This window comes from Homo sapiens, chromosome 12, assembly GCF_000001405.40.
Source record: "Homo sapiens chromosome 12, GRCh38.p14 Primary Assembly".
Classification (NCBI taxonomy): Eukaryota; Metazoa; Chordata; class Mammalia; order Primates; family Hominidae; genus Homo; species Homo sapiens.
In genome coordinates, this window is record NC_000012.12 from 53321703 (window position 1) to 53344847 (window position 23145).

At 53.3% G+C, this 23145-nt stretch overlaps 1 protein-coding gene across 3 annotated transcripts, besides 5 other annotated features; it reads right to left on the bottom strand.

Annotated features, from left to right (window-relative positions):
• Nucleotides 25-74: an enhancer, noted in NCBI's record as "active region_6416". NCBI's record gives its function as "activates an Ori minimal core promoter by ATAC-STARR-seq in GM12878 lymphoblastoid cells {active_cell/tissue: GM12878}" and the evidence as "EXISTENCE:reporter gene assay evidence [ECO:0000049][PMID:35858748]".
• Nucleotides 2087-2820: an enhancer, noted in NCBI's record as "H3K4me1 hESC enhancer chr12:53717573-53718306 (GRCh37/hg19 assembly coordinates)". NCBI's record gives its function as "activates a minimal SCP1, AML or CMV promoter by ChIP-STARR-seq in naive H9 embryonic stem cells {active_cell/tissue: H9 hESC(naive)}" and the evidence as "EXISTENCE:reporter gene assay evidence [ECO:0000049][PMID:30033119]".
• Nucleotides 3134-3633: a silencer, noted in NCBI's record as "silent region_4504". NCBI's record gives its function as "represses an Ori minimal core promoter by ATAC-STARR-seq in GM12878 lymphoblastoid cells {active_cell/tissue: GM12878}" and the evidence as "EXISTENCE:reporter gene assay evidence [ECO:0000049][PMID:35858748]".
• SP7 (Sp7 transcription factor) lies at nt 4873-23091 on the bottom strand. 3 transcript variants are annotated; one of them, NM_001300837.2, is made up of 3 exons: nt 22986-23091; nt 14444-14681; nt 4873-7718 (listed from the first exon to the last, which is right to left on the bottom strand). In NM_001300837.2, the coding sequence occupies exon 3, from the start codon at nt 7683-7685 to the stop codon at nt 6444-6446; it is 1242 nt and encodes a 413-aa protein (NP_001287766.1). In that variant the 5' UTR covers nt 7686-7718; nt 14444-14681; nt 22986-23091; the 3' UTR covers nt 4873-6443. The 3 variants fall into 3 exon arrangements, with proteins under 3 accessions (NP_001287766.1, NP_001166938.1, NP_690599.1); NM_001173467.3 differs by lacking the exon at nt 22986-23091 and adding an exon at nt 13924-13991 and having other exon boundaries at nt 14444-14652; NM_152860.2 differs by lacking the exons at nt 14444-14681; nt 22986-23091 and adding an exon at nt 13924-14074.
• Nucleotides 6085-6807: an enhancer, noted in NCBI's record as "H3K4me1 hESC enhancer chr12:53721571-53722293 (GRCh37/hg19 assembly coordinates)". NCBI's record gives its function as "activates a minimal SCP1, AML or CMV promoter by ChIP-STARR-seq in naive H9 embryonic stem cells {active_cell/tissue: H9 hESC(naive)}" and the evidence as "EXISTENCE:reporter gene assay evidence [ECO:0000049][PMID:30033119]".
• Nucleotides 6808-7529: an enhancer, noted in NCBI's record as "H3K4me1 hESC enhancer chr12:53722294-53723015 (GRCh37/hg19 assembly coordinates)". NCBI's record gives its function as "activates a minimal SCP1, AML or CMV promoter by ChIP-STARR-seq in naive H9 embryonic stem cells {active_cell/tissue: H9 hESC(naive)}" and the evidence as "EXISTENCE:reporter gene assay evidence [ECO:0000049][PMID:30033119]".

Consider the following 23145-nt stretch of genomic DNA (forward strand, 5'->3'; position numbering starts at 1 on the left):
AGCAGCGCGGACACGTCCCCCGGCCAACCGTTGGTTACCAGGCTGGAGTGGGGTTTTTTTCTGTTGTTTTCCATGAGACTACTGTTTTTCCCAGCTCCGAATTCCCGAACACCTTCTCCCACTCACTATCTTAGCGCTTAGAAAGCCCGAAATAAGCCACATTCAGGGAAGTACCAAATTAATCCTCCCAGGCCTGTGGATCACCCAGAGGAAAATACAGGCTATGTCACAGGCAGCTGGCTGGAAAGCTGAGGGAAAAGCCTCAGAGAGGAGGAACAGTGCTGCACCCACACGGTTAGGCGTCCTGGAAAGGGAGGTGGGGACGGTTGGAAAACTAACATTTCCTGCCAGGCGCGGTGGCTCACGCCTGTAATCCCAGCACTTTGGGAGGTCGAGGTGGGTGGATCATCTGAAAGGAGTTCGCAGACTAGCCTGGCCAACATGCTGAAAACCCCATCTATACTAAAAATACAAAAATTAGTCGGGCGTGGTGGCGGGCACCTGTAATCCCAGCTAATCGGGAGGCTGAGGCAGGAGAATCTCTTGAACTCCGGAGGGGGAGGTTGCAGTGAGCCAAGATCGCACCATTGCACTCCAGCCTGGGTAACAAGAGGGAAACTTCGTCTCAAAAAGGAAAACTTTATTTTATTTTATTTTTTTGAGAGACAGGGTCTCGCTCTATTGCCCAGGATGAAGGCAGTGGTGCTATCTCAGCTCACTGCAACCTCTGCCTCCCCGGTTCAAGCGATTATCCTGCCTCAACCTCTGGAGTAGCTGGGATTACAGGCATGCTTCACCACGCCCAGCTAAGTTTGTATTTTTAGTAGAGACGAGGTTTTACCATGTTGGCCAGGCTGGTCTCAAACTCCTGACCTCAAGTGATCTGCCTGCTTTGGCCTCCCAAATTGCTGGGATTACAGGCCTGAGCCACCTTGCCGGGCTGCAAAACTATTTCCTGAGCACTTGTTACGATAAGTGCTTTTATAATCTTTACAACCCCATAAGGTGGGTGCTGTTCTGTCACCATGAGGAAAGTGAGTCACAGAGAGATTGGACCTAGATACACCCAAACCAGTTATTCTCACTTAAGAATAAAAGTAAGGCTGGGTGTGGTAGCTCACACCTGTAATCCCAGCACTTTGGGAGGCCGAGGCTGATCTCTTGAGCCCAGGAGTTCAAGACCAGCTTGGGCAAAATAGCAAGACCCTGTATCTACAAAAAATTCAAAAGTTAGCCAGCGTGGTGGTGGCAAGCGTCTTTAGTCCAGCTACTCAGAAGGCTGAGATAGGAGAATCCAGACTACAATGATCCAAGATAGCACCACTGCACTCCAGCCTGGGTCAAAGAGCGAGACCCTGTCAAGCAAGCCAGAGAGAAAGAGCCGGGCGCGGTGGCTCACGCCTGTAATCCCAGCACTTTGGGAAGCTGAGGTGGGCTGATCCCCTGAGGTCGGGATTTCGAGACCAGCCTGACCAACATGGAGAAACCCCATCTCTACTAAAAAATACAAAACCAGCCAGGCATTGTGGTGCATGCCTGTAATCCCAGCTACTCGGGAGGCTGAGGCAGGAGAATCCCTTGAACCTGGAAGGCGGAGGTTGCAGTGAGCAGAGATCGCGCCACTGCACTCCATCCAACCTGGGCAACAAGAGCGAAACTCCGTCTCAAAAAAAAAAAAAAACAAAAAACAAAACAAAACAAAAAAAAATGGGAGGGAAGGGAGAGGGAGAAAGAAAGGAAAGAAAGAAAGAGAATGGGGGCCCCTCTTACAGACTTTGGAAAAAACATTGAATTCTTTGAGTCTCACTTTTCTCATTTGCAGTGTCCTAATTATTTCATATGGTTGTTTTCCATACAAAATAATAAAATGAAGCTATTTAATAAATTTTAAAGTGCTAAACAAATGTCAGAGGTTAATAGCTATAACTGTGCCATCAACTAGGTGACCTTGGTCAGAGTTCATTAACAAATGTTAAGTGATTTGAAGATGTAGAAGGCTGTCCCCACTCCCAAGAGCTACCAGTCTCATTGAATAATCTAGGGGGCATTTAGTTCTAGTATTCTGGATTCCGTGTCTGCCCTTCTTTTTCACCTGAAAAATTCCCCCCAAGAGAGTTATTACCAGGTCAGAAAACAAAGGGCTCCAGAGTCTCCTGAAAATGCACTTCACCTGAGAAGGCAAGTGGATCTCCTCTAATCTAGTACTTCTCAACTGTTAAGGGACATAGGAATCACCTGAGCATCTCCTAAGGTGGCGCTCAGAGGCTATAGTTCCAAAGAATCCCCAGCTGATACTGCACAGACCACATTTTAAGTAGCAAGGCTCTAACCTAGCGGTCCCCAACTTTTTGGCACCAGGTTTAGTGGAAGACAGTTTTTCCAGGGGGAGCGGGGGAGGGAATGGTTTGGGGATGAAACTGTTACACCTGAGATCATCAGGCATTAGTTGGATTCTCATAAAAAGCGGGCAACCTAGGTCCTTCACGTGCGCAGTTCACAACAGAGTTCGCGCTACTATGAGAATCTAATGCCGCTGATCTGACAGGAGGCGGAGCTCAGCTTGCTCAGCTCGTCTCCGGCTGTGCGGTTCCTTTACAGGCCACCGACACGACGGGCCGTGGCGCGACCCCTGCTCTAACCTTTTCCCATAGCCCCATTTAATTTCCTATGTGAGTTCACCGTCACCTGGGAAGTCACAGAAAGCTTGAAGAACATAAGGTATACACTGGGGATGGTTTGGGGAACCTGGCTGGGAAAGCCTCCCTGAGAAGGGGAAGTGGGCAGGTTTGAGGGAGAGGAAGTCGGTGACTGACAGATTAGTGGAGAGCACTGAGGACCCACGATAGTTTCCGTTTGTACCTTAGTCGTAACACCATCCAAACCCAGATACCCCTAGGAAAAATCACTCCGGCCTGCAACTTGCATCCTTCGATGAAACCTCGATTTTCACCATCAGGTTATAATGATCGGTTAGGTGCCTGCTTCTTACCCTGTAAGGTGAACTGGAGAGAAGGAACAGTGCTGTTCCGCCCGCTGCCCCCGCCCTGGCCTGGCACAAGTACTGTCCCCTCCTCCATACTGCTTATTTAACGTTTGTGGAACGCTTTTCACCATTTGCGGGTTCTAGAAAGGCCCAAGTCCAGGCCCGGCGCGCTCACCCAGTAACTTCACCAGGGGGCGCGGCTGGCCAGGCAACGCAGCGACCGTGACCCACGCCCTATGGGCTCCGAGCGCTTAGCGGGCGGTCTCCGCCGGCCCCTCCCTACGACCTGGGCGGGAACCGAGAGAGCGCGCAGGCCGCTTCTAAAAGGGGCCCCCTACTTTGGGAGTCGTCACCGGAGCCTGGGTGCCCGGAGCTCCGCCCGCTACCCCTTCCCGGGCCCGCTGGAGCCCGGCGTCCCGACCCGGGGCCGGTAACCAGGCGCACATGGCCCGCCCGGCCCTGTTTGTCCTGGCAGCGCGCCGCCGCTATTTGAAGCGGTTTTTATCTCCCAGAAACCAGCAAAACCCCAAGCGGAGTCTAGGGAAGATGAAAGGGGCCGAAGGGTTGGGGAGGGGAGGACCGCGAGGCTGCGGCGGGCGGGAGCTGGCACCGGACAGGCGGAGACCGGGAGGCGAGAGGGCCAGACTCTGGGGGGTCCGGAGGAGCCCGCCCGGCGGGGTTGAGGCGGGATCCCGGGGTTCCACTCCAGGCCGCCGCCTCGCTCAGACCAGCTCCAAGGCGCCCCCCGCCTTTCCTCTGCCCCAGCCCCCTCTCCCGGGTCTCTTCCGTCACAGCCCCCAGCCCACTAAAGAAGTCTTCGGAACTCGGATTTCTTCAAAGCGCCTTTGAAGTCGCGCGCCCAGCCGGAGGGCAGGAGATTTCGCACCTGGGCGGGGGCGGGAGTGGCGTCAGGGTGGGGAGGGGGCTCGTAACCCGAGCCCCCCCAGGATCGCCGGCCCCCTCCCACCCGTAGCAGCCCCTCTTGCGACCCGTGCGGTGGACAGTCCGACGCGGGGCGCAGCTGGGAGTCGGGCCCAGGCCGGGGGGAGCGGCCTGTGAGCCCCCTCAGCCCAGCGGGGTAACCTTGGGGGGCGGGGGCCGCACAAAGCCCTATTGTGGCTCGGGGATGCTGCCACAGAGTGGTTTTTGTTCTTCGGCTAACTCCGTGGCGGGCACGACTGATTGCAGACCCAGGGCAGGGGGCGGGTTACGTGCCAGGCCCAGTCTGCCCGCCGGGAGCCGCACCACCGCCCGACTGGGGCCGCGCAGGAGTCCGCACTGCAACCGCGGTGCCCGCGCTCGGGTCGCGTCACTGCCCTGACCAGGGTCAGTTGGTGCAGTCCAGAAAGGGCCAGGGTAGAAACCAGTGAGTCTTCCCAACTCTGCAGAAAGCACTGCACGCCCAAAAACTGAACACCGCTGGAGGATTTGACCGAGAAACAATTTTGTTTTGTGTTTTGTTTTGAGACGGAGTCTCGCTCTGCAGCCCACGCTGGAGTGCAGTGGCGCGATCTCAGCTCACTGCAACCTCCACCTCCCAGGTTCCACGATTCTTCTGCCTCAGCCTCCCAAGCAGCTGGGATTACAGGCACCTGCCATCACGCCCGGCTGATTTTTGTATTTTTTAGTACAGACAGGGTTTCATCATGTTAGCGAGGATGGTCTCGAACTCCTGACCTCAGGTGATCCGCCCTTCTGGGCTTCCCGAAGTGCTGGGATTACATGTGTGAGCCACCACGCCCGGCCGATAAACTATTTTACCGCGAGCATAGGTGAGCAAACGTGCACAATAGAATATTCGCCCATGAGTAGTCCCCAATTTGCTAAGGAAAAAAAACCATTGGCCCTCGCTTCACCCTTCCTCTTCTCCTTTTCTCACCAGGACAAAATTTCAAATCCAACTTTTATTTATTAAATTAAAAAAAAAAGACTCCACAAAGGGCATGATCCCTTCCATTCCACAATGTTCTCTCCCCAAGCTCCAGCGGCTTTAACCCTTTAACTTGGGGCCTTGAGACAGCAGGGGACAGAAAAGGAGGATCCAACGTTACAGGAAAGGCACGAAGCGGCTTTAAAAGTCACTGGAGGTGGAGATGGGAGCATCCAAAGTCCCAGGGTGGGGGTGCGTGGATGCACCACCAGATCAGCTTGGGGGCCTCTGTCCTCCTAGCTCTTTAAGTTCTTTCTCAGGGCTTCTAGGCACCAGATCTAGCATAGTGCCTTGCACAGAGTAGGCACTCAATACATACTTATTTGAATCTGATCCTAGAGAAAGCCTTCCCCACCCATTCTTCAGGAGGTGCACCCCCAAACCAATGTCCTCCTGTTAGATGGGCTTCCCCAAAGAGCACATCTAAGATGGCAGCTGCAAGCTCTCCATAACCATGGCAACAGGGGATTAACCTGATGGGGTCATGGTGTCTAAGGGGTGGGGCAGTGGAGGAACCTGCTCTGCAGTCAAGGGAGATGGGGTACATTCCAGTCCTTCTCCCCTCCATAGGACTTGAGGTTTCACAGCTTCTGGCTGGGGCTGGGGATATTAGGGATCCCCCTAATCAAGAGATACCCCATCAACTGTTTAGCAGAGATGTAGCTAACCCAATTTGTAGAGACTTCATTACAAGAGAAACCCTATCAACTGAGATTCTGATGATAGACATTCTATTAACAAGATCTTCTCCACTAACATTTTGTCTATACAGAGATGCATTTGACTAGAATTTCCTTAGCAGAAATGGATCCACTTCCCTCCCCAGCTCACTCTACCTGACCCGTCATCATAACTTACATAAATAGAATTATTACTATTCATTACTCCTGGTACATAGGGGTTAAATATACAGGCCTGGGGGCAGCCTCCCTGACCCTGGGGTCACCCCATCTTTGGGATCAGATCCCCACTGGTCTGCCCCCCTCTTGGCACCCTCTGGCCAGGTCACTAACCCCAATACCCCTGATGAAGAGGCCACCAGGGGGCAATAAATTATCATTATCATTGTGTTTGTAAAAAGGAAAAAAGAGTTCTGGAGAATGGAAAGCAATGGTGTAAGAAGTTGGGAAGACTGAAGCCTGGAGGCTGAGGGACAGCAGGAAATAAGCTTGAGAAGCAGAAAGGGGTACATGTCAAGGAGTGAGATGGAGAAATAGTGTTGGGAGCCCAAATAGAAAGTGTGTTGGTGTGGCAGGGCCAGAGTCTAGGAAGCCGGAGTGCAGGTATCAGGCACAAGGGGAGGGCCTGAGATGAGAGTTTGTGGAAAGCCAGTCTCATGGTGAAGAGAGAAGGTGAGCTGAGGAGGCATGCAAGGAGATACCCAAGCCCAGAATGGCCAGGAGGGAGACAGAGGGAGAGAGCCCCGAAGGATGGCATGCATGGGGTAAAGAGAGTGATTGGCAAGCAGTGGTCTAGAGAGCCAAGAGAGACTGTCAGGGCAGCCCTGGGGTGGGAGACCTTCCACCCGGCTCAGATCTCCAGCAAGTTGCTCTGCTCAGGGCTGCCTCCAGGGGCTTTCTCTGGGGTTGCTGGCGAGGCAGAAGGTCGGGGCGTCTGACTGGCCTCCTCTTCCCCCGTGCTGCGGCCCTCCCCCAGCTCCTTGGGGCCACTGGGAGGGGGACCCGGGCCTGGTTCTCCATGGGTGCGCTGGTGTTTGCTCAGGTGGTCGCTTCGGGTAAAGCGCTTGGAGCAGAGCAGGCAGGTGAACTTCTTCTCCCGGGTGTGAGTGCGCACATGACGCTCCAGCTCATCCGAACGAGTGAACCTCTTGCCGCAGAAGAGCCAGTTGCAGACGAAGGGCCTCTCGCCTGTGTGCCAGCGCAAGTGGGCCTTCAGGTGCGAAGCCTTGCCATACACCTTGCCGCAGCCAGGGATGTGGCAGCTGTGGATGGGCTTCTTCCGCAGCCCAGCCGCTGCTGCTCCCAGCCGCTCTAGCTCCTGGCAATTAGGGCAGTCGCAGGAGGAGCGCCCTGCCCCACTGCCCCCATATCCACCACTACCCCCAGTGCTTGCACCCCGTGGGGGTTTGGCTCCACCACTCCCTTCTAGCTGCCCACTATTTCCCACTGCCTTGGGTTTATAGACATCTTGGGGCAAGACATGCTGGGGCCCTGGTTGCAAGAGGTGGGGAGCTGGGTAGGGGGCTGGATTAAGGGGAGCAAAGTCAGATGGGTAGGTGGGCAGCTGGGGGTTCAGTGGAGGCTGAGCTGGACCTGTGGGCAGTGTCCCTTGCAGCCCATCACCCTGGCCCTGCCCACCACCTAGCCAGTTGCCTCCAGGGTGCATATCCCACCATGGAGTAGGAGTGTTGCCTGGGCCTGGTGAAATGCCTGCATGGATGCCTGCCTTGTACCAGGAGCCATAGGGGTGTGTCATGTCCAGAGAGGTGTAGACACTGGGCAGACAGTCAGAAGAGCTGTGCCCCTTGGGCACTAGTAGCCCAGGGTCCTGGGTGCCTGTGGGCCCAGGGAATGAGTGGGAAAAGGGAGGGTAATCATTAGCATAGCCTGAGGTGGGTGCTGGAGGACTGCCTGCAGGTGAAAGGAGCCCATTAGTGCTTGTAAAGGGGGCTGGATAAGCATCCCCCATGGTTTTGGAGGCTGAAAGGTCACTGCCCACAGAGTACGGCTTCTTTGTGCCTGCTTTGCCCAGAGTTGTTGAGTCCCGCAGAGGGCTAGAGCCACCAAATTTGCTGCACGCTGCCGTCAGCATGGCCAGGGGACTGGAGCCATAGTGAACTTCCTCCTGTGGAAAGAGGGACGCACTGCTTAGGGAGAGGGGAGGAGAGGTACAAAATGAAGGGCAACACTTTAGGACTGAGACCTAGAGACATCCACAACAGAACAGAGGGGTCAGGGAAGAGTTGAAGAGGGTGGAGAATTACAGGTAAAAGAGGTTAGCCAGTGAGGGCTGGACCTCAGGGCAGACTCATGGAGTCGTGGGAAGAAGAACAGAGGCCCAAGACTGCAGCTCAGTATCCCAACCCAGAAGGCAGGAAGCAGAGCTCATTCTGGAGTTGCTAGGGGTGTACTAGGGGCCTCCAAGGAACAGGAGGTTCTTTTTCTTTTTTTTTGAGATGGAGTCTCGCTGTTGTCGCCCAGGTTGGAGTGCAATGGTGTGACCTCGGCTCACTGCAACCTCCGCCTCCCGGGTTCAAGAGATTCCCCTGCCTCAGCCTCCGGAGGAGTTGGGATTACAGGCACCCACCACCACACCTGGCTAATTTTTTTGTATTTTTAGTAGAAACAGGGTTTTGCCATGTTGACCAGACTGGTCTCAAACTCCTGACCTCAGGTGATCCGCCCACCTCGGCCTCCCAAAGTGCTGGAATTACAGGCATGAGCCACTGCGCCCGGCCTTTTCTTTTTATTTAAAAAAAAAATTATTTTTTGAGACAAAGTCTTGTTCTGTCACCCAGGCTGGAATGCAGTGGCCCAATCTCGGCTCACTGCAAACTTTGCCTCCCAGGTTCAAGCAATTCTCCTGCCTCAGCCTCCCACATAGCTGGGATTACAGCCGCACGCCACCACATTGAGCTATTTTGTATTTTTAGTACAGACGCAGTTTCACCATGTTGGCCAGGCTGGTCTTGAACTGATGACCTCAAGTGACCCAAAACTCCTGACCTCAACCTCCCAAAGTGTTGAGATTACAGGTGTGAGCCACCGCACCCAGCCAAAAAAATATTTTTAGAGACAGGGTCTCACTCTGTCTCCCAAGCTGGATGGAGTGCAGTAGCACCATCACAGCTCACTGTAGCCTCAAACTTCTTTCTGGGCTCCAAGCGATCCTCCACCCTCAGCCTCCAGAGTAGTTAGGACTACAGGCACACACCAGGGGCTCTTTTTAAATGGCTGTGAGAAGAACTGGGGATAGAGACAGCAGCTAGGTGAAGTGAGAATTGGGGATCCTGACCCTTGGAAGTAGGTTTGGAGCAGATCGAGGCCATGGGCAGGGCCTTGGAGAGGAAAGATGAGGCTCAAAGTGCAGTGTAGGGAGAAGGTCAAAGTATTAGGGGACTATATTTGCTCCCATGACAGATTTTCCCAGCTTCATCCCATACCCGATATTCCATTTCCTGTCGCTGCTTCAGCTCCTGACTAAGGCAGTGGTCTTGTCTCCCTGAGGTCCAATCCTCATGTCCCTGCTAAGGAATCTCTTGGCAGAGACTCCGGCTGGAGAGCAAGAGGAAGTGATGGTGGAGACACTGGGACATTGAGAGGGAACAGGGCTGCCGCCAAGCCCAAACTGTGGCTGAGACAAGAATGCCTTTCAAGCAGGCAGTGAGCACCTCCTGCTTTGTGGTGCCAGCTGGTACCCCTTTGAGAGGGCTGTAAGAGCCCAAAGTCGTCATGCCCTTCCAAGGCAAGGAATGGGGTAACTAAGATACTGGCCCACAGCCACACTGCTTCATGCCTCAGTGTCCCCTAACATGTAGTCCTTCTAGCACTGTGAATGAAGGAAGACATGGATGTAGTATATGGGAGTCTTTTAGAAATGCAAGGGTATCTTCTAGCCAGGCGCGGTGGCTCACGCCTGTAATCCCAGCACTTTGGGAAGCTAAGGTGGGTGGATCACTAGATCAGGAGTTCAAAACCAGCCTGGCCAAGATGGTGAAACCCCATCTCTACTAAAAATATAAAAAAATTATCTGGGTGTGGTGGCAGGCGCCTGTAATCCCAGCTATTCGGGAGGCTGAGGCAGAGAATTGCTTGAACCTGGGAGGTGGAGGTTGCAGTGAGCCAAGAAGGTGCCACTGCACTCCAGCCTAGGCTACAGAGCAAGACTCCATCTCAAAAAAAAAAAAAAAAAAGAAAGGCAAAGGTATCTTCTTAATGCCCACCATGCTGCTGCTACCAGGCCAAACCACTCTCAAGATCTTTACCTCTCAGGAACTCATGGTTCCTGATGGTGCCTCTCCCTGGGTGAGGCATCCAAGGAGGAAATGCCCTATAGCATCCCTGGCTGGCATAGACGGTCATTCATTGCTGGGAATCCCACCAAAAAAGATGCCCTCAAAATCTACCCCTATACAGTTATATGGGTATGAAAGGGCTAGAAGAACAGTTTTGAGGATTGGGTTCTTCATAAACTCATATGGGCCTGATCCTTTCCCAGTAAGGCTGAGAAAAGAACTCAAGAATCCAGAGTTCTCACACCTGTCTGGTAGCTCTTAGCATGTAGTATGTGTACGATGCCAATCCGAGAGGTGGGCCTGGGGCCCTGGGGTTGCCATGAGGCATGTGTGCAGTCCCCACTTCTGCGCTACACCCCAAGTGCAAACCTGCTGCTCTTCCTGCACAGTTGCCTCTCTCTAAGGTCCCGTTGACTCCCAAACTGAGCCACCAAAAGTTTTCTCCAGTCTAACCACAGTGAACACTCACGGTTCCCCCAGTCAGGGTTTCCCGGGAACCCCTGATCTTCCAAGCAGCGGGTGAGCTATGGCAGGGTAGCTGATGGGGAGGAGTCAAATCCTAGCAGAAAGAAGAGGTAGAAACATGGAGTTCAAAGCAGAGAGGCAGATACCCAGAGATATGGGGCACAAAGGACCTGCATAGGGTAAGGGATTGACAAAAAAGACCCATAGCAATGGGGGAAGGAGGACCTGAGAGGAAAAATTGGCATTGAATAGCAGAAATAGCTATAATTCCAGCACTTTGGGAGGCCAAGTGGGGGAGGGTTGCTTGAGGCCAGCAGTTTGAGACCAGCCTGGGCAACATAGTGAAACCCCATTTCTATAACAGATTTTAAAATTAGCTGGGCTTGGTGGTGCATGCCTGTAGTCCTAGCTCCTCAGGAGGCTGAGATGGGAAGCTCACTTGAGCTAAGTAGTTAGAGGCTGCAGTGAGCTATGATTGTGCCACTGCACTGCAGCCTGGGCAACACAGCAAGACCCTGTCTCAAAAACAACAGCAACAACAAAAAAGAAGCAGAAATAGGCAGGGACCTAAAAGACCAGAAAGGTAAAAAGACACAAACTAAGAAGGAGAGATGATGGAAAAGAGACTGGGCTAGAAAAGCAAAGGAAAGCAGAGAAGAAAAGAAAGGAGTGGAAAAAAGAAAAGGGGGAGGAGGAGGAAGAAGGCGGCCTTCCTACCTAAGAGAAAACCACCATGGTGCTGGGCCCCAGAAAACCCCCAGACCAGGCCACTCCTCCCTTCTTCTCCCCCCTGACCGCCCCCTCTCCCTCTGCCCAGCCCGGCTCCGATGGTTTCCCTGCGGTCGGTTTATTTTTAAAAACGCCGACGCCGTCCCCCGCCCGGCCCTCACACTGCGGCCACAGGGGCCTCAGCCAAGCCCAGGGACCCCACCCAGCTGTGGGGAGGGAAGGAGGGGTGAAAGAAGGCAGCCAGCCCCAGGCCAACAGGAGACCCCAGCCCTGGGGAGTGGAGGCCCAGAGGGCCCTCGAGGGCAGGGAATGGGGAGCGAGGAACCAGACCCACTCAGAATGCTCTGGGGGCTACAGGCTGAGCACGTGGCTAAGTTTCACCACAGCCTCAGTTTCCTTCTCTTGCTGATTGTTCTCTCCTGAGAACTTGGGGAAAGAGCACTGGTTAAGAGTTCTAAACATGTGTCCCCATACCTGATCAAATGTGTTCCCTTTCCAGGGCCCAGCAGTCCCACCTTCGAGTTGTTCCCTCCCGACCTCCACCCCACCACCCTTAAAACAAAACAAAACAAGACAAACAGAATTAAAGTATTGAAGTGGGAGTGTTTGGAAAAAGAACAAGATAGGAGCTGTCCCAACTCTCCCACCCAGATGTGGAGCAGGGGAGGGGGATCCCCTCCTCCCAGGGAGCTCATGGTGCAGTGCCCAGCCTGGCCTCCCAGCGGAAGTGCTCACTAGACATCTCAGGGCTGACTGGCCTTAGGTTTGGAGCAGTCAAGGTCCCATTTTCCAGTTCTCAACTTTCTCAGCCTTCTCCCAAGTTTCTTCGTTTTCCCAGCTTCCCAATTCTCCTTTCCCACCTAGGCCCCCAACAATTTCTTCCCCTTCCCTGTTCCCCTGAATCTCACTTGGCCGAGGTGAGCCCCCCATCAAGCAGCAGCTGCTTCCCACTGCCAGAGAGCCCACCCATACAAGGTGGAGGGCTTCCTGGGGAGGTGGGGAGGAAGTTGAGGGCCCAGGTACTCAAAAACTAGGTGCAAGTGGTCGAGGGACAGGAGGGACTGGTGTGCCTTCGTGTTGCAGGCATCTCCAGCTCACAGGAGTGAGGGGACATGAAAGTCTAGCTTCCACAACACTCTCCTTTCGCCATGCACTATCCCAATCCCATGTCTTTCCAGCAGGCCTCTGGGCCAGTCCCTCCCAAGCCACCAGCGCCACGTTGGCAACACTGGCATGATGCCCACGCCCACTGACACTGTCCCTGCCCTGGGTGGACCCAGGATTTCCATGCATCTTATTCCTCAAGACCACAGTGTTTCAATGATGGCTCAAAATAGAGTCTGTTGGGGAGGTGGCAGGATGACAGTCTGCTCCCATTGCAGCTACGGGTAGACCCCTGGCTGGATACAGAGTGTGACAAGGGACGTGGTGTCCATCTGGTTGGCTTGCATGCTATTCCCCCAAACTCAGCCACAAATTCACTATCTCACAGCCTTGTGCACACACCATTTATCACTTGGACTCACAGCACTCAGATGGCCCAACTTACACACACACACACACACACACACACACACACACACACACACACTCTCAGGGCCTGTGGCACCCTCGACTGCACCCTAACGATTACACTCAGGCCAATGAACACAGGTGTTAAAAGACTCCTGCCCCATCTCACAAACACACACCTCTCCCACAGGTTGAGTGAGTTGGCTTCCTGTTTGGCCCAGCACCCCTGGGCCTGAGCTAGGGCACTGGGAAGAGAGATGTGGGACCCAAGAATAGGGAAGAGTCAAGGCTACTGAAGGGGACTGACTTTCAGGGAGGGCCCTCTGGCCCTAAATTCCTGCAGAGAGACCCAGAAAGCAGGACAGAGATGGTGACAGAGGAACAGTGTCAGAGACCCAGAAGCAGGGAGGAATCTGGCCCTGAGTGGCTGTGAGCCCTGCCTTCCCAACTCTGTGCCTTGGGTCCCCCAGAAGCCAGAGTAGAGTCAGAAATTTCTCAAGACCCCAAACCCTGACCCCAGTGGTACCCCAATTCCCTTTGTCCCCAGCACCAGAGGCAAGGGATGCTGGGGTCCCAGCCCGGAGGGGAAGTGGCCCAGTCCGCCCTGGAGCCTCCCACTCCCAAAATAGAGCTGAGTTTGTCTTTGGCTGAAAGCTAAATATTTGTAAGCCGGGCAAGCGGCCTCAGACCCCGTCCCTCCTCCTTGGTTCCCTCACAGGCCTGGGCTCAGTTCCCCTGGTCAGCTCCCCCACAGGCACAGGCTGGCCTCCTCCTTTCTCTCATAGCCTACCTCCTCTCCTCCACACACCAGCTCACGGGCCCAGCCCCCTCCCCACAAAACCAGGCAAGATCCTGTCTGGGCTACGAGTCCCAGGAGACGGGACCCCTAAAGAGCTATACCCAGTTGCTGCTCTGTGCCCACTCAGCCAGTCCTCTCTGCCTTCTATCTCTTCTGCCAGCTTATGTATTTCCCACCCCTCTCTCCTCACTCCCCCTCGCCCCCCTCCCCCTCCTTTCTCCATCGCTTTTCCACTCCTCACAGTCAGTGTGCTTAGCTGACCTTAGGTAGGGGTCCATGCCTTCTTCTGACCTAATCCCCTCTCACCCTCTTTCCACTGCCCTCTGACCCCTGGCCCTATTCTTCCCTCCCTTTTCTCCTGCCCTCTGCTTCCCCTTTCTTGGACCCCACTCCTCTCTCCTCATCAGAAGGACCCCTGGAATTGACAAGCACCACAGCTACTATCTATGTGAGTTGGAGGAGGTGGGTGGGCAAGGACTAGGACCATTAAGGTTGTGGCTGGTTTCCTGGGGGGAAGAGGGGACAGTTACCTCAAGCAGGGAGGACGCCATCCTGAGGCTGGGGAACGGGTCCCAAGGAGCCAGGCAGATGGAGAGAGCTGAGCCGGGGGGTGGGGGGGGTAGAGAGAGAAAAGGGAGAGGGAGGGAGAATGGGAGAATGGGAGAGAAGAGATCTAAAGTTAGAAGGGACCGGGGTGGGGGGCTGCTCTCTGTCTGTAGGGATCCACCCTCTAATTACAGCTTTCCCAGCGGAGAAGGCTCCAGATCCAATGAGGAGGGCGAGAGAGGGAGGCAGAGGGTCCAAATTTCCTGCTCCATTTGCTGAGCTCCCCAAAGAAGGGATCAGGGAGGGAGAGGAGAAAAAGGGGCGCCCATGGAAGGGGTGGGAAGCAGGAAGAGGGGAGAGCAGCATGGGCAAGTTGTCAGGGCTTCCTCGGGGGGCTGCTGAGGGGAGAGGTTAAAGGGATGGTGGACCCCGGTGTCCTACACGCGGCAGCAGTCCCATAGGCATCTGTGGGCACCCCTCCCAGAGCTCCCCAGTGTCATGTACCTGGGGGAACCTGGGGCTGGCTGTCCCGAGTCTCTCCTCTCTGGAGGTCTGGCAGGGAGAGTGCAGGCAACGGGTGGCCTGAGGGTGCTGGGAGGGATCCGCTCTCTCCCAGGCCAGCTCCACTCCTGTTCCACTCAGGCTCCGGTCCTACAGTCCTACTCTGACTCCAGAGTCCTTGCTGCTGCTCGGCGGCTGCTGCTTCTGCTACTGCTGCTGCCTAGGCTGCTGCCGCCCGCCGCTGCTGAGGGAAGGAACAGGAGGGAAAAGGAACAAACCCCAAACCACTAATTAGAGATCCAGGGGGGGGATGGGGGGTTGGGGACGACACTCACACAGAGAGACTGGAACGCACTGACATACACACTCATGGCCAAACACAGGGGTGATGCATGCACACGTACACACAGTACCACTCACATGGGTACAGCCACTATCATGAATGAACACAGACGGACACACACAAATGCACACAGTGACGCACTGGAGGCACACGCACCACACCCGCCCCAGCTGACCATGGAGAGGCTTGCTTCCCCAGTCACCCACCTGCCTCTAGATCAGGAGAGCAGTGTGTATGTGCCCCTGTGTGTGTGTACGTGCCCGTGTGTGTGTGTGTGTGTGTATGTTGTGGGAAGAGGCATGGAAGGTTCTGAGGTGGAGGTTTCTGCTGCCTAAACTTTTAGTGTCACTGAGGTTGGTTCCAGAGCAAGGCCTGGAGGAAGGGTTGAAGAGTTGGGGAAGGCTTGGTATTGGCTTGGGGGTCCCTCAGTCTTCCTCCCAGTGCCTCAGTTTCACTGTTTGGAGGTGATACCTAGGCCTACCTCACTTTGTGGGGCAGAACCTGGATCTTCTGATGAAGAGAAAATTTAAGACAAGCAGGAGTGAGGGTGGCGGTAGAAGGTCATTGGGTCAACTCATTCATGCCGACACCTAACCTCTTTGGATTATTTCCCCCAAAAAGAAATGCCCTAACCTCCATATTCCTTGTCAGTTACCATCCCTGGGTAACCAAGTTACCATCTCTTAGAGACCATGGGTTTAATCTCCATCCTTTGGTGGACAGTTCTCCAGAGTGATCTGACTTTCCTGGGAACTCCTGGTTCCCTTTCTCATTGCCATGCATCAATTCCCTCTTCCACAGAAAGAACTGAAGTTAGAACTTAATAAGGACTTCCCAACAAAATAGGAAGTAAGAGAAGGAAGGGCAGCCAGGTTAGGAGGGAAACCCAAAAAGTCTATTACCTGAAACCTGGGCCATGGGCCCTGAGGTATTTATGGGAGAGAGGACTGGGCAGCTAAGTGGTGACACCGGCAGCTCTCCCACAGGGGGGCTTAGCCCGCTGGGGTTGTTTTACAGGTTATTCCTTAACACACACTTCTCCCCCTCCCAGCTCTCCCTGTCAGGGGAATAAAGCCCCATCCTTTCCACTCTCCTCACTCTGCAACACCATCCCCTCACTTTCTCGGAGTGCCCAATTCCTTGCTCCTTTTGCTCTCCCAGATCTCCAAAGAAAAAGCTGGGAGGTGGCAGGAGCAGATGGAGGTCCACGGAGGGTTGCACAGCAGTTTCGCCAGCAGGTAGGCACCAATTTCAGGGTAGGGCCCAGGAGTTCTGGATTCTAGCCCCATGATTTGATTTACCTCAAGGAACTCTGGGAACCCAAGGTTTAGGGGAAGGGTTTGGGAACCAGGTGGCTGATAGACAAAGAGAAAGCAGCAAAAGAAGAAACAGAGCAAATGAAAGAGTCCAAGACAATCAGAAGAGATATCACCAGGTATAAGAGAGAGGAAACAGGAAAACAGAAGACCAGATGTGTGGCTTTAAACAACAACAACAACAACAACAAAAAACAGAGCAGGAAAGAAACTAAAAAGATAAAGAAACAGGCCCAGAGGAACAAAGATGGGGAGACAATGGCTTGGGAAGGACAGAGAAAATAGCCTGAGGCATAGCCAGGTCCGGAGGAGGAGGAGGAGGAGGAGGAGGAGGAGGGTTGTGTTGCCAGGCAGGTGGGGGGGCGGGGAAGGAGTATAAATAGCACATAATTGTGTCCGCTGATTACACGGGCCACCCCACCCGTCTGCCTGAGAGGAAGTGCCCGTGGTGGGGTGTCCCTGTGACCTCGCGGTCTCCCCCTTGTTGGGGGGGAGTCTGAGACTGAGGTGCCAGATGGCTTTCCGGGGCCCCGAACTCAGAAGTTGAGAAAGAGAAGCTTTAGAGAAATTCCTGTATCACCAGCAGAAAAGCCCGACCCAGTTAGATCAGGCAGGAAACTGAGGCAGAGGAGGAGAAAGTCTAGATTCTAAAGAAGAGATAGCAGGTGAGGAGGGGGTTGGGACTCAGATTAGATGAGAGAAGAAAGGAAGAAACTGAAGGGGAAAAGGAGGAAGGATGGAAAGATAAATGGACAGACAGGGCTGGGGAGAGGAGTTGGAAGGAAGGGTCACCTTCTCACTCCCCGTGTGGGCTTTAATCCCTAACCCTACCCGGGAAGGGGCAGACGTATTCAAACCCTACTATTCTCTATTCGAACCCTACTATTCTCGGAGAAATAAAAAGGAGGAGCAGAGTCCCAGGAAGATGTGAGCCAGTGCCCCGATGTGTCAACATAGGACACCCTCTGGACACAGAGCCTCTTCCCCACCAGAGATCAGCGCCAAAGATAGGCAGAGGGGCTGCCTGAATCCCCCAGCTGCTGCCCTCAGGAACCCCTGGGTTCTGACTTCTCCATGTCCTTTTTAAAAATAGTCCTGCAGCCCAGCTGAGGCTCTGGTGTTCCTGGGTCCAGCTCCCCAGTCTCCTTCCCAGTGCCCTGAGGGGCTGGGGGCAGCAATTGGAAGCCCTAACCAAGGACCTACCTCCACCCTCTCAGGCCTCCCTCAGCCCAGCCTCCCAGGGGGTGGGGCAGACCAGGGAGAGGCGCCATGTGGCAGGGGCGGGTAGAGGCTGCGGCTCTGGTCCTTCCAGTATAAACCCCCTAGGCATCTGGTTTCTATCCACCACCCCCCACCACCCTGGGGGCCCCTCAGCCTCCGCCCATGGCCACCCAGACGCTGAGCTCCAAGGGATGGATGCCCCAGACGGAAGGGGTGGGATGATGCCTTTCTGATATCCCAATGCCAGGACTGGGCTGAACCACAGGAACCATTCCCTTCCCACCCTCCCCTAGGAGAATCAGGGTGGGCTTTGTAGGTTAGAGGGGGTTGAATCTGGCACCTGCCTCAGTTCTCCAAATGATTTTGGATCTTTTTGGAAAGATCAGTGGGGTGAAAACAGAATGAAAACTGGGGAGAGTGGGGCCGGGTGCAGTGGCTCACGCCGGTAATCCCAGCGCTTTGGGAGGCCAAGGTGGGTGGATCACCTGAGGTCAGGAGTTTGAGACAGCCTGGCCAACATGGTGAAACCCCGTCTCTACTAAAAATACAAAAATCAGCTGAGCGTGGTGACGGGTGCCTGTAATCCCAGCTACTTGGGAGGCTGAGGCAGTAGAATCACTTGAACCCAGGAGGTGGAGATTGCAGTGAGCTGAGATCATGCCATTGCACTCCAGCCTGGGCAACAAGAACAAAACTCCATCTCAAAAAAAAAAAAAAAGAAAGAAAAAAAAAACTGGGGAGAGTGGGAGACCTGTACCCCCTATTCCCAAGGGATGCTACTTCCATCGTCCACACCATCACCCTCTACCACCTTTCTAGGCTGGGCTGTCTCTAAGAGCCTCATCCAAAGGGACTCCCAACTCTTCATTGTTGCTGTTATAGAAGGTTTGACTACCCTAGGGAGAATCACCAGAGAATAGTGAGCAGAGCCCCTGAAATAGAGACTGACACATGCCCTAATACATACCTGATGACAGACACATTCAGATCTGCATACTTGCACACACACAAGGTGACACATAATTCATACACATTTGTACTATGCAGGCATCCATATTGACACACACTGATATATACATATACAGATAATGCTTACCCCAAGACACCCTAACCCCCAATCATAAAAATGCACACACCAGTATATATATACATGCATACAGACTCACAGCCACCTAGAATACTCCCCACATGGACTCACAGACTCCCATCAACACACGTATCTACACATGTGGCAAATGTCACATACATATACCCAGGGCTACCATTACAACTTTACAGCCCTGGAGATCTCTGTGGTCTCCTAAAGGGCATTTGGGAACCCCTCTCCCTATAAGGATCTGGAGATAAGGGTGATATGGAGGCCACTGCCAGTCCTGCAAATTGCTGCCTCCAACTCCTACTAGTATAAGAAGTTCCAGTGTACCTTTAGGTACTTTTGATCCAATACTCCACACACACACCAGAGTTCAGAGACCCAGATGGCCCCAGCGAACTCCCTGGTCCTGGGGAACCCCAGCATCCCTACCCCCACCCAGGCCCCCGCTGCTCTGCGGCCCCGCTGACTCATCTCTCCCTCTGTGGAGCTCCCCAACCACAGGGGCCTGGAAGAGAAGCTTGGAAAGTTGCGCTCATGTCCCGGGCCCCTGGTCTGGCCACTACCCGCCCATGCACCCAGCCCAGCCCTTGTCTCCAGTGGATACTCCAGCGACAGAGAACATAGAGGGGACAGGAAAGAAGAAGGCACGCAGAGACAGGGAAACAGAAAGACACAGGAGAGACAAAGAGGAAACAACAAATGGTGGGCATACAGATGAGAGACCCTGAGGATCAGCTACTAGTCTGTTGGGTCCTCTAAGAGCAATGGGGCTGATGACCAGGAAAGCTTGCTCCTTGGGTTGAAGGAACATCCATTCATGGCCTCAGGATTTAGAGACTGCCGAGTGCCTTGACCCAGCATTTCTGACACTAGGCTCAGGGTACTTGGGGAAGAGGATCCAATTTTAGGAGGCAAAGCTGAGGACACAGGGTAGAAAGGAAGCTTTTAAGAGGCTGGCAACCTTTGTATAGGACAGCTTGGAAAAGGAGTTCCTCACCCCAACAAATATGTACACAAATTTACAGGTACAGACAGACTACAACTTCCCTCCCTCTCTGCTAGGTCTCCCCATCCCCTCTTCCAGCACCAGGGCTGCAAGGCAGGACCTCTGGGACTGACTCTGGCTCCCCTCTTCCCTGAGCCTTGGGTTCCTTCATTGACATTGAGCCCTGATATAATTCAGCAGCTTTAGGAGAGGCAGATCAGAATCAGAAACAGAAGTGCCATGGAAGGAGCAGGAAGGAATCTGGATGGCAGGGGACAAAGTGAAAAATGAAAGGAAGAGGAAGACTGGGGTCTGATTCTGAAACAAGGGGACCTGTCCTGGATGCCCGTGTCTAAAATGGGACAACATTGAATTAAGTAAGAACCTGGTCATCTCTAGAAAATGACCCTTTGTAAAAACGATACCCTAGAATCTGATCCATGAAATATACTAGTGTCTTTCATAAGAAGAAGTTGGGGTGATGGAGTTCTGATCACATCATCCCTAGGAGTGAGGCTGAGCAACTCAAGGGAATGGTCCTTCAAAATCCTAAATACAGGCCTGGTGAGGTGGCTCACACCTGTAATCCCAGCACTTTGGGAGGCCGAGGTGGGTGGATCACCTGAGGTCAGAAGTTTGAGACTAGCGTGGCCAACATGGCAAAACCCTGTCTCAGGCTGGCCGAGGTGGCTCATGCCTGTAATCCCAGCACTTTGAGAGGCTGAGGAGGGCGGATCACGAGGTCAGGAGATCGAGACCATCCTGGCTAACATGGTGAAACCCTGTCTCTACTAAAAATACAAAAAATTAGCCGGGCGTGGTGGCGGGCGCCTGTAGTCCCAGCTACTTGGTAGGCTGAGGCAGAAGAATGGCGTGACCGGGAGGTGGAGCTTGCAGTGAGCCGAGATCGCGCCACTGCACCCCAGCCTGGGCGACAGAGCGAGACTCCGTCTCAAAAAAAAAAACAAAAAACAAACAAACAAACCCTGTCTCTACTAAAAATACAAAAATTAGCTGGGTGTGGTGGCGCGTGCCTGTAATCCCAGCTACTCTGGAGGCTGAGGTAGGAGAATCACTTGAACCCAGAAGGCAGAGATTGCAGTGAGCCGAGATTGTGCCACTGCACTCCAGCCTGGAAGACAAGCGAGACTCCATTTAAAAAAAAAAAAATTCCTAAATACACACGTCTCCCCGCTTTCTCTGGCCTGCTGCATTCTTCCTCGGAGCCCAGATTTTTGAAATGTGGAATGAACTTAAAGAACATTCTTTCATTCAACAAATGTTCAGAAAGCACCTACTTTGTGCTAAGCACACTGGGCTAGACTTAGGCATGCAATAACAAGCAAGACAGACTCATCCCTTCACCTCACAAACTAACCAGCAACTAATACAAAAGAGTAGGAAGTATCTCGATAGAATAAGTACTGGAGGGCCAGGCGTGGTGGCTCACGCCTGTAATTCCAACACTGTAGGAGGCCAAGGTGGGTAGATCATAAGGTCAGGAGTTCGAGACTAGCCTGGCCAAGATGGTGAAACCCCATCTCTACTAAAAATACAAAAAAATTAGCCAGATGTGGTGGCAGATGCCTGTAATCCCAGCTACTTGGGAGGCTGAGGCAGAGAATTGCTTGAACCTGGGAGGCGGGGGTTGCAGTGAGCCAAGATTGTGCCACTGCATCCCAGCCTAGGTGACACAGAGAGACTCCGTCTCAAAAAATAAATAAATAAATAAATAATAAATAATAAAAATAAAATAAAATAAAAAATAAGTACTGGATGTTATAGGAGACAAAAGAGTAAATCTAAGCCAGTGTTGGGGGGGAATTAAGGAAGGCTTCCTGGAAGACAGCATGACTAAGTAAAGAAACTGAAGGACAAATAAGAGTTATCAAGTAAAAAAAGGAAGAGTGGTGCCAGTGCAGTGGCTCATGCCTGTAATCCCAGCACTTTGGGAGGCTGAGGTGGGTGGATCACTTGAGTCTAGGAGTTTGAGACCAGCCTGGGCAACATGACGAAACCCCATCTCTACAAAAAATACAAAAAAAAAAAAACATAGTCTGGGTGACAGAATGAGACCTTGTCTAAAAGAAAAAAAAAAGGAAGAGTGTTGTAGGAAGGGGGAAGAGTATATGCAAAGGCTCAGAGGTATGAGGGATTAACAACTTTTGAGATGCTGAAAATTGAGTGTGAGTGCAACACAGAGTGGAGGCTGATGGAGAAGTTCTAATCAGCTATGCAAGGGGCCTAGACTTGATCCAAAGGCAATATATGAGAATACTCGTATATTAGAGAAATGACTGACTTCAGAGAGGAGAATGAAATAAGGGCTTAGAGCCAGGCGGTTCTGGGTAAATCAGGCATTTACAATGGTGCAAGCTTGGGTGAGCTATTTAACCTTTGAGGCCTAAGATTCCTCTCCTGTTGAAAGGGGCAACTTAATATGGTAACCTCCCAGGGTTGTTACAAGGATTAGCAATAAAAAGTGTTGAGTTCTTAGCACAGTGTCTGGCACTTAGTAGTTGCTCCATAAATGGTGCCTAGCAGTATTGTCACAGTTGGGAGAAGGGCAAAATCGGAGGCAAGGAAACAATCTGTTGCAGCAGTCCAAGCAAGATGTGGGAAGGTGTGGCCTGCAGTAGCAGAGAGGATGAGCAGAAGTCAGTGGAGGGGGCCAGCACGGTGGCACATACCAGCACTTTGAAAGGCCAAGGCGGGCAGATCACTTGAGCCCAGGAGTTTGAGACCAGCCTGGCCAACATGGTGAAACCCCTTCTCTACTAAAAATACAAAAATTGGCTGTGCCAATTTTTGGCACATGCCTGTAATCCCAGCTACTTGGGAGGCTGAGACATGAGAATCTCTTGAGCCTGGGAGGCGGAGGTTGCAGTGAGCTGAGATTGTGCCACTGCTCTGCAGCCTGGGCGACAGAGCCAGACTCTGTCTCAAGAAAAAAAAAAATAAAAAAATAAGTCAATGAAGGGGTGATATTGAGGATGTGAGGTGGAGAGGATTTGGTGTCCAATCAGATGTGAGGGGTGAGTAGTCACACATGACTTCCCTTGATCTGTGTGTTGATGTGTGCACTTGCACACAGGATATGCAGGCATTTTAGAGGTATCTATTCAGTTCTGAGAATGGCTCTTGACAGTTGCTGGATCCGGCCAACAGTGAAGGGCCAGGGCAGTATCTGAGGACCTGGCCCTCAGTCTCCCAGAAGAACCCCCGCCTCTGCCCTCTGCCCCAATCCCTCCTGAACTATTTCCTTTCCCCCTTTTCACCCATTTCTCCCTCTCCCCACCTTCCATCACCTCCCCTACATAGGAACCCGCTGTAAGTTATAAGCCTACCTAGGCCCACTTTCCACCGCCTCAGTTAATGAAGGTCCTTGGGACTCAGCTACCAACATTAACACCTCCTCCCCACATAGCCTCAATGGGACGCCCCCCTCTGGATTTCAAAGCGCTGTTCAATGCCCCCATCCACCCCCACCTCGCGTGGACGTGTGAGGCAAGAAGGACGGTTGAAGCTGAGGCAGGATTTGGGGGGTCTTAGCCCCCAGCCACAGCTGTGGGGGAGATAGGCACCCTCAGAAGGACAGGACAGGTCGTGAGCTCCGGGGCTGCTGGGAGGTCTCTTGCGGCCTAGGCCAGGCTCAGGGCCGCCGGGGATCTCGCCTCCATCCCGTGCCTCAGTGTCCCGGCGCGGCCGAGGGGCGGGCGGCAGGGGGCGGGGCGCGGGCGGGGC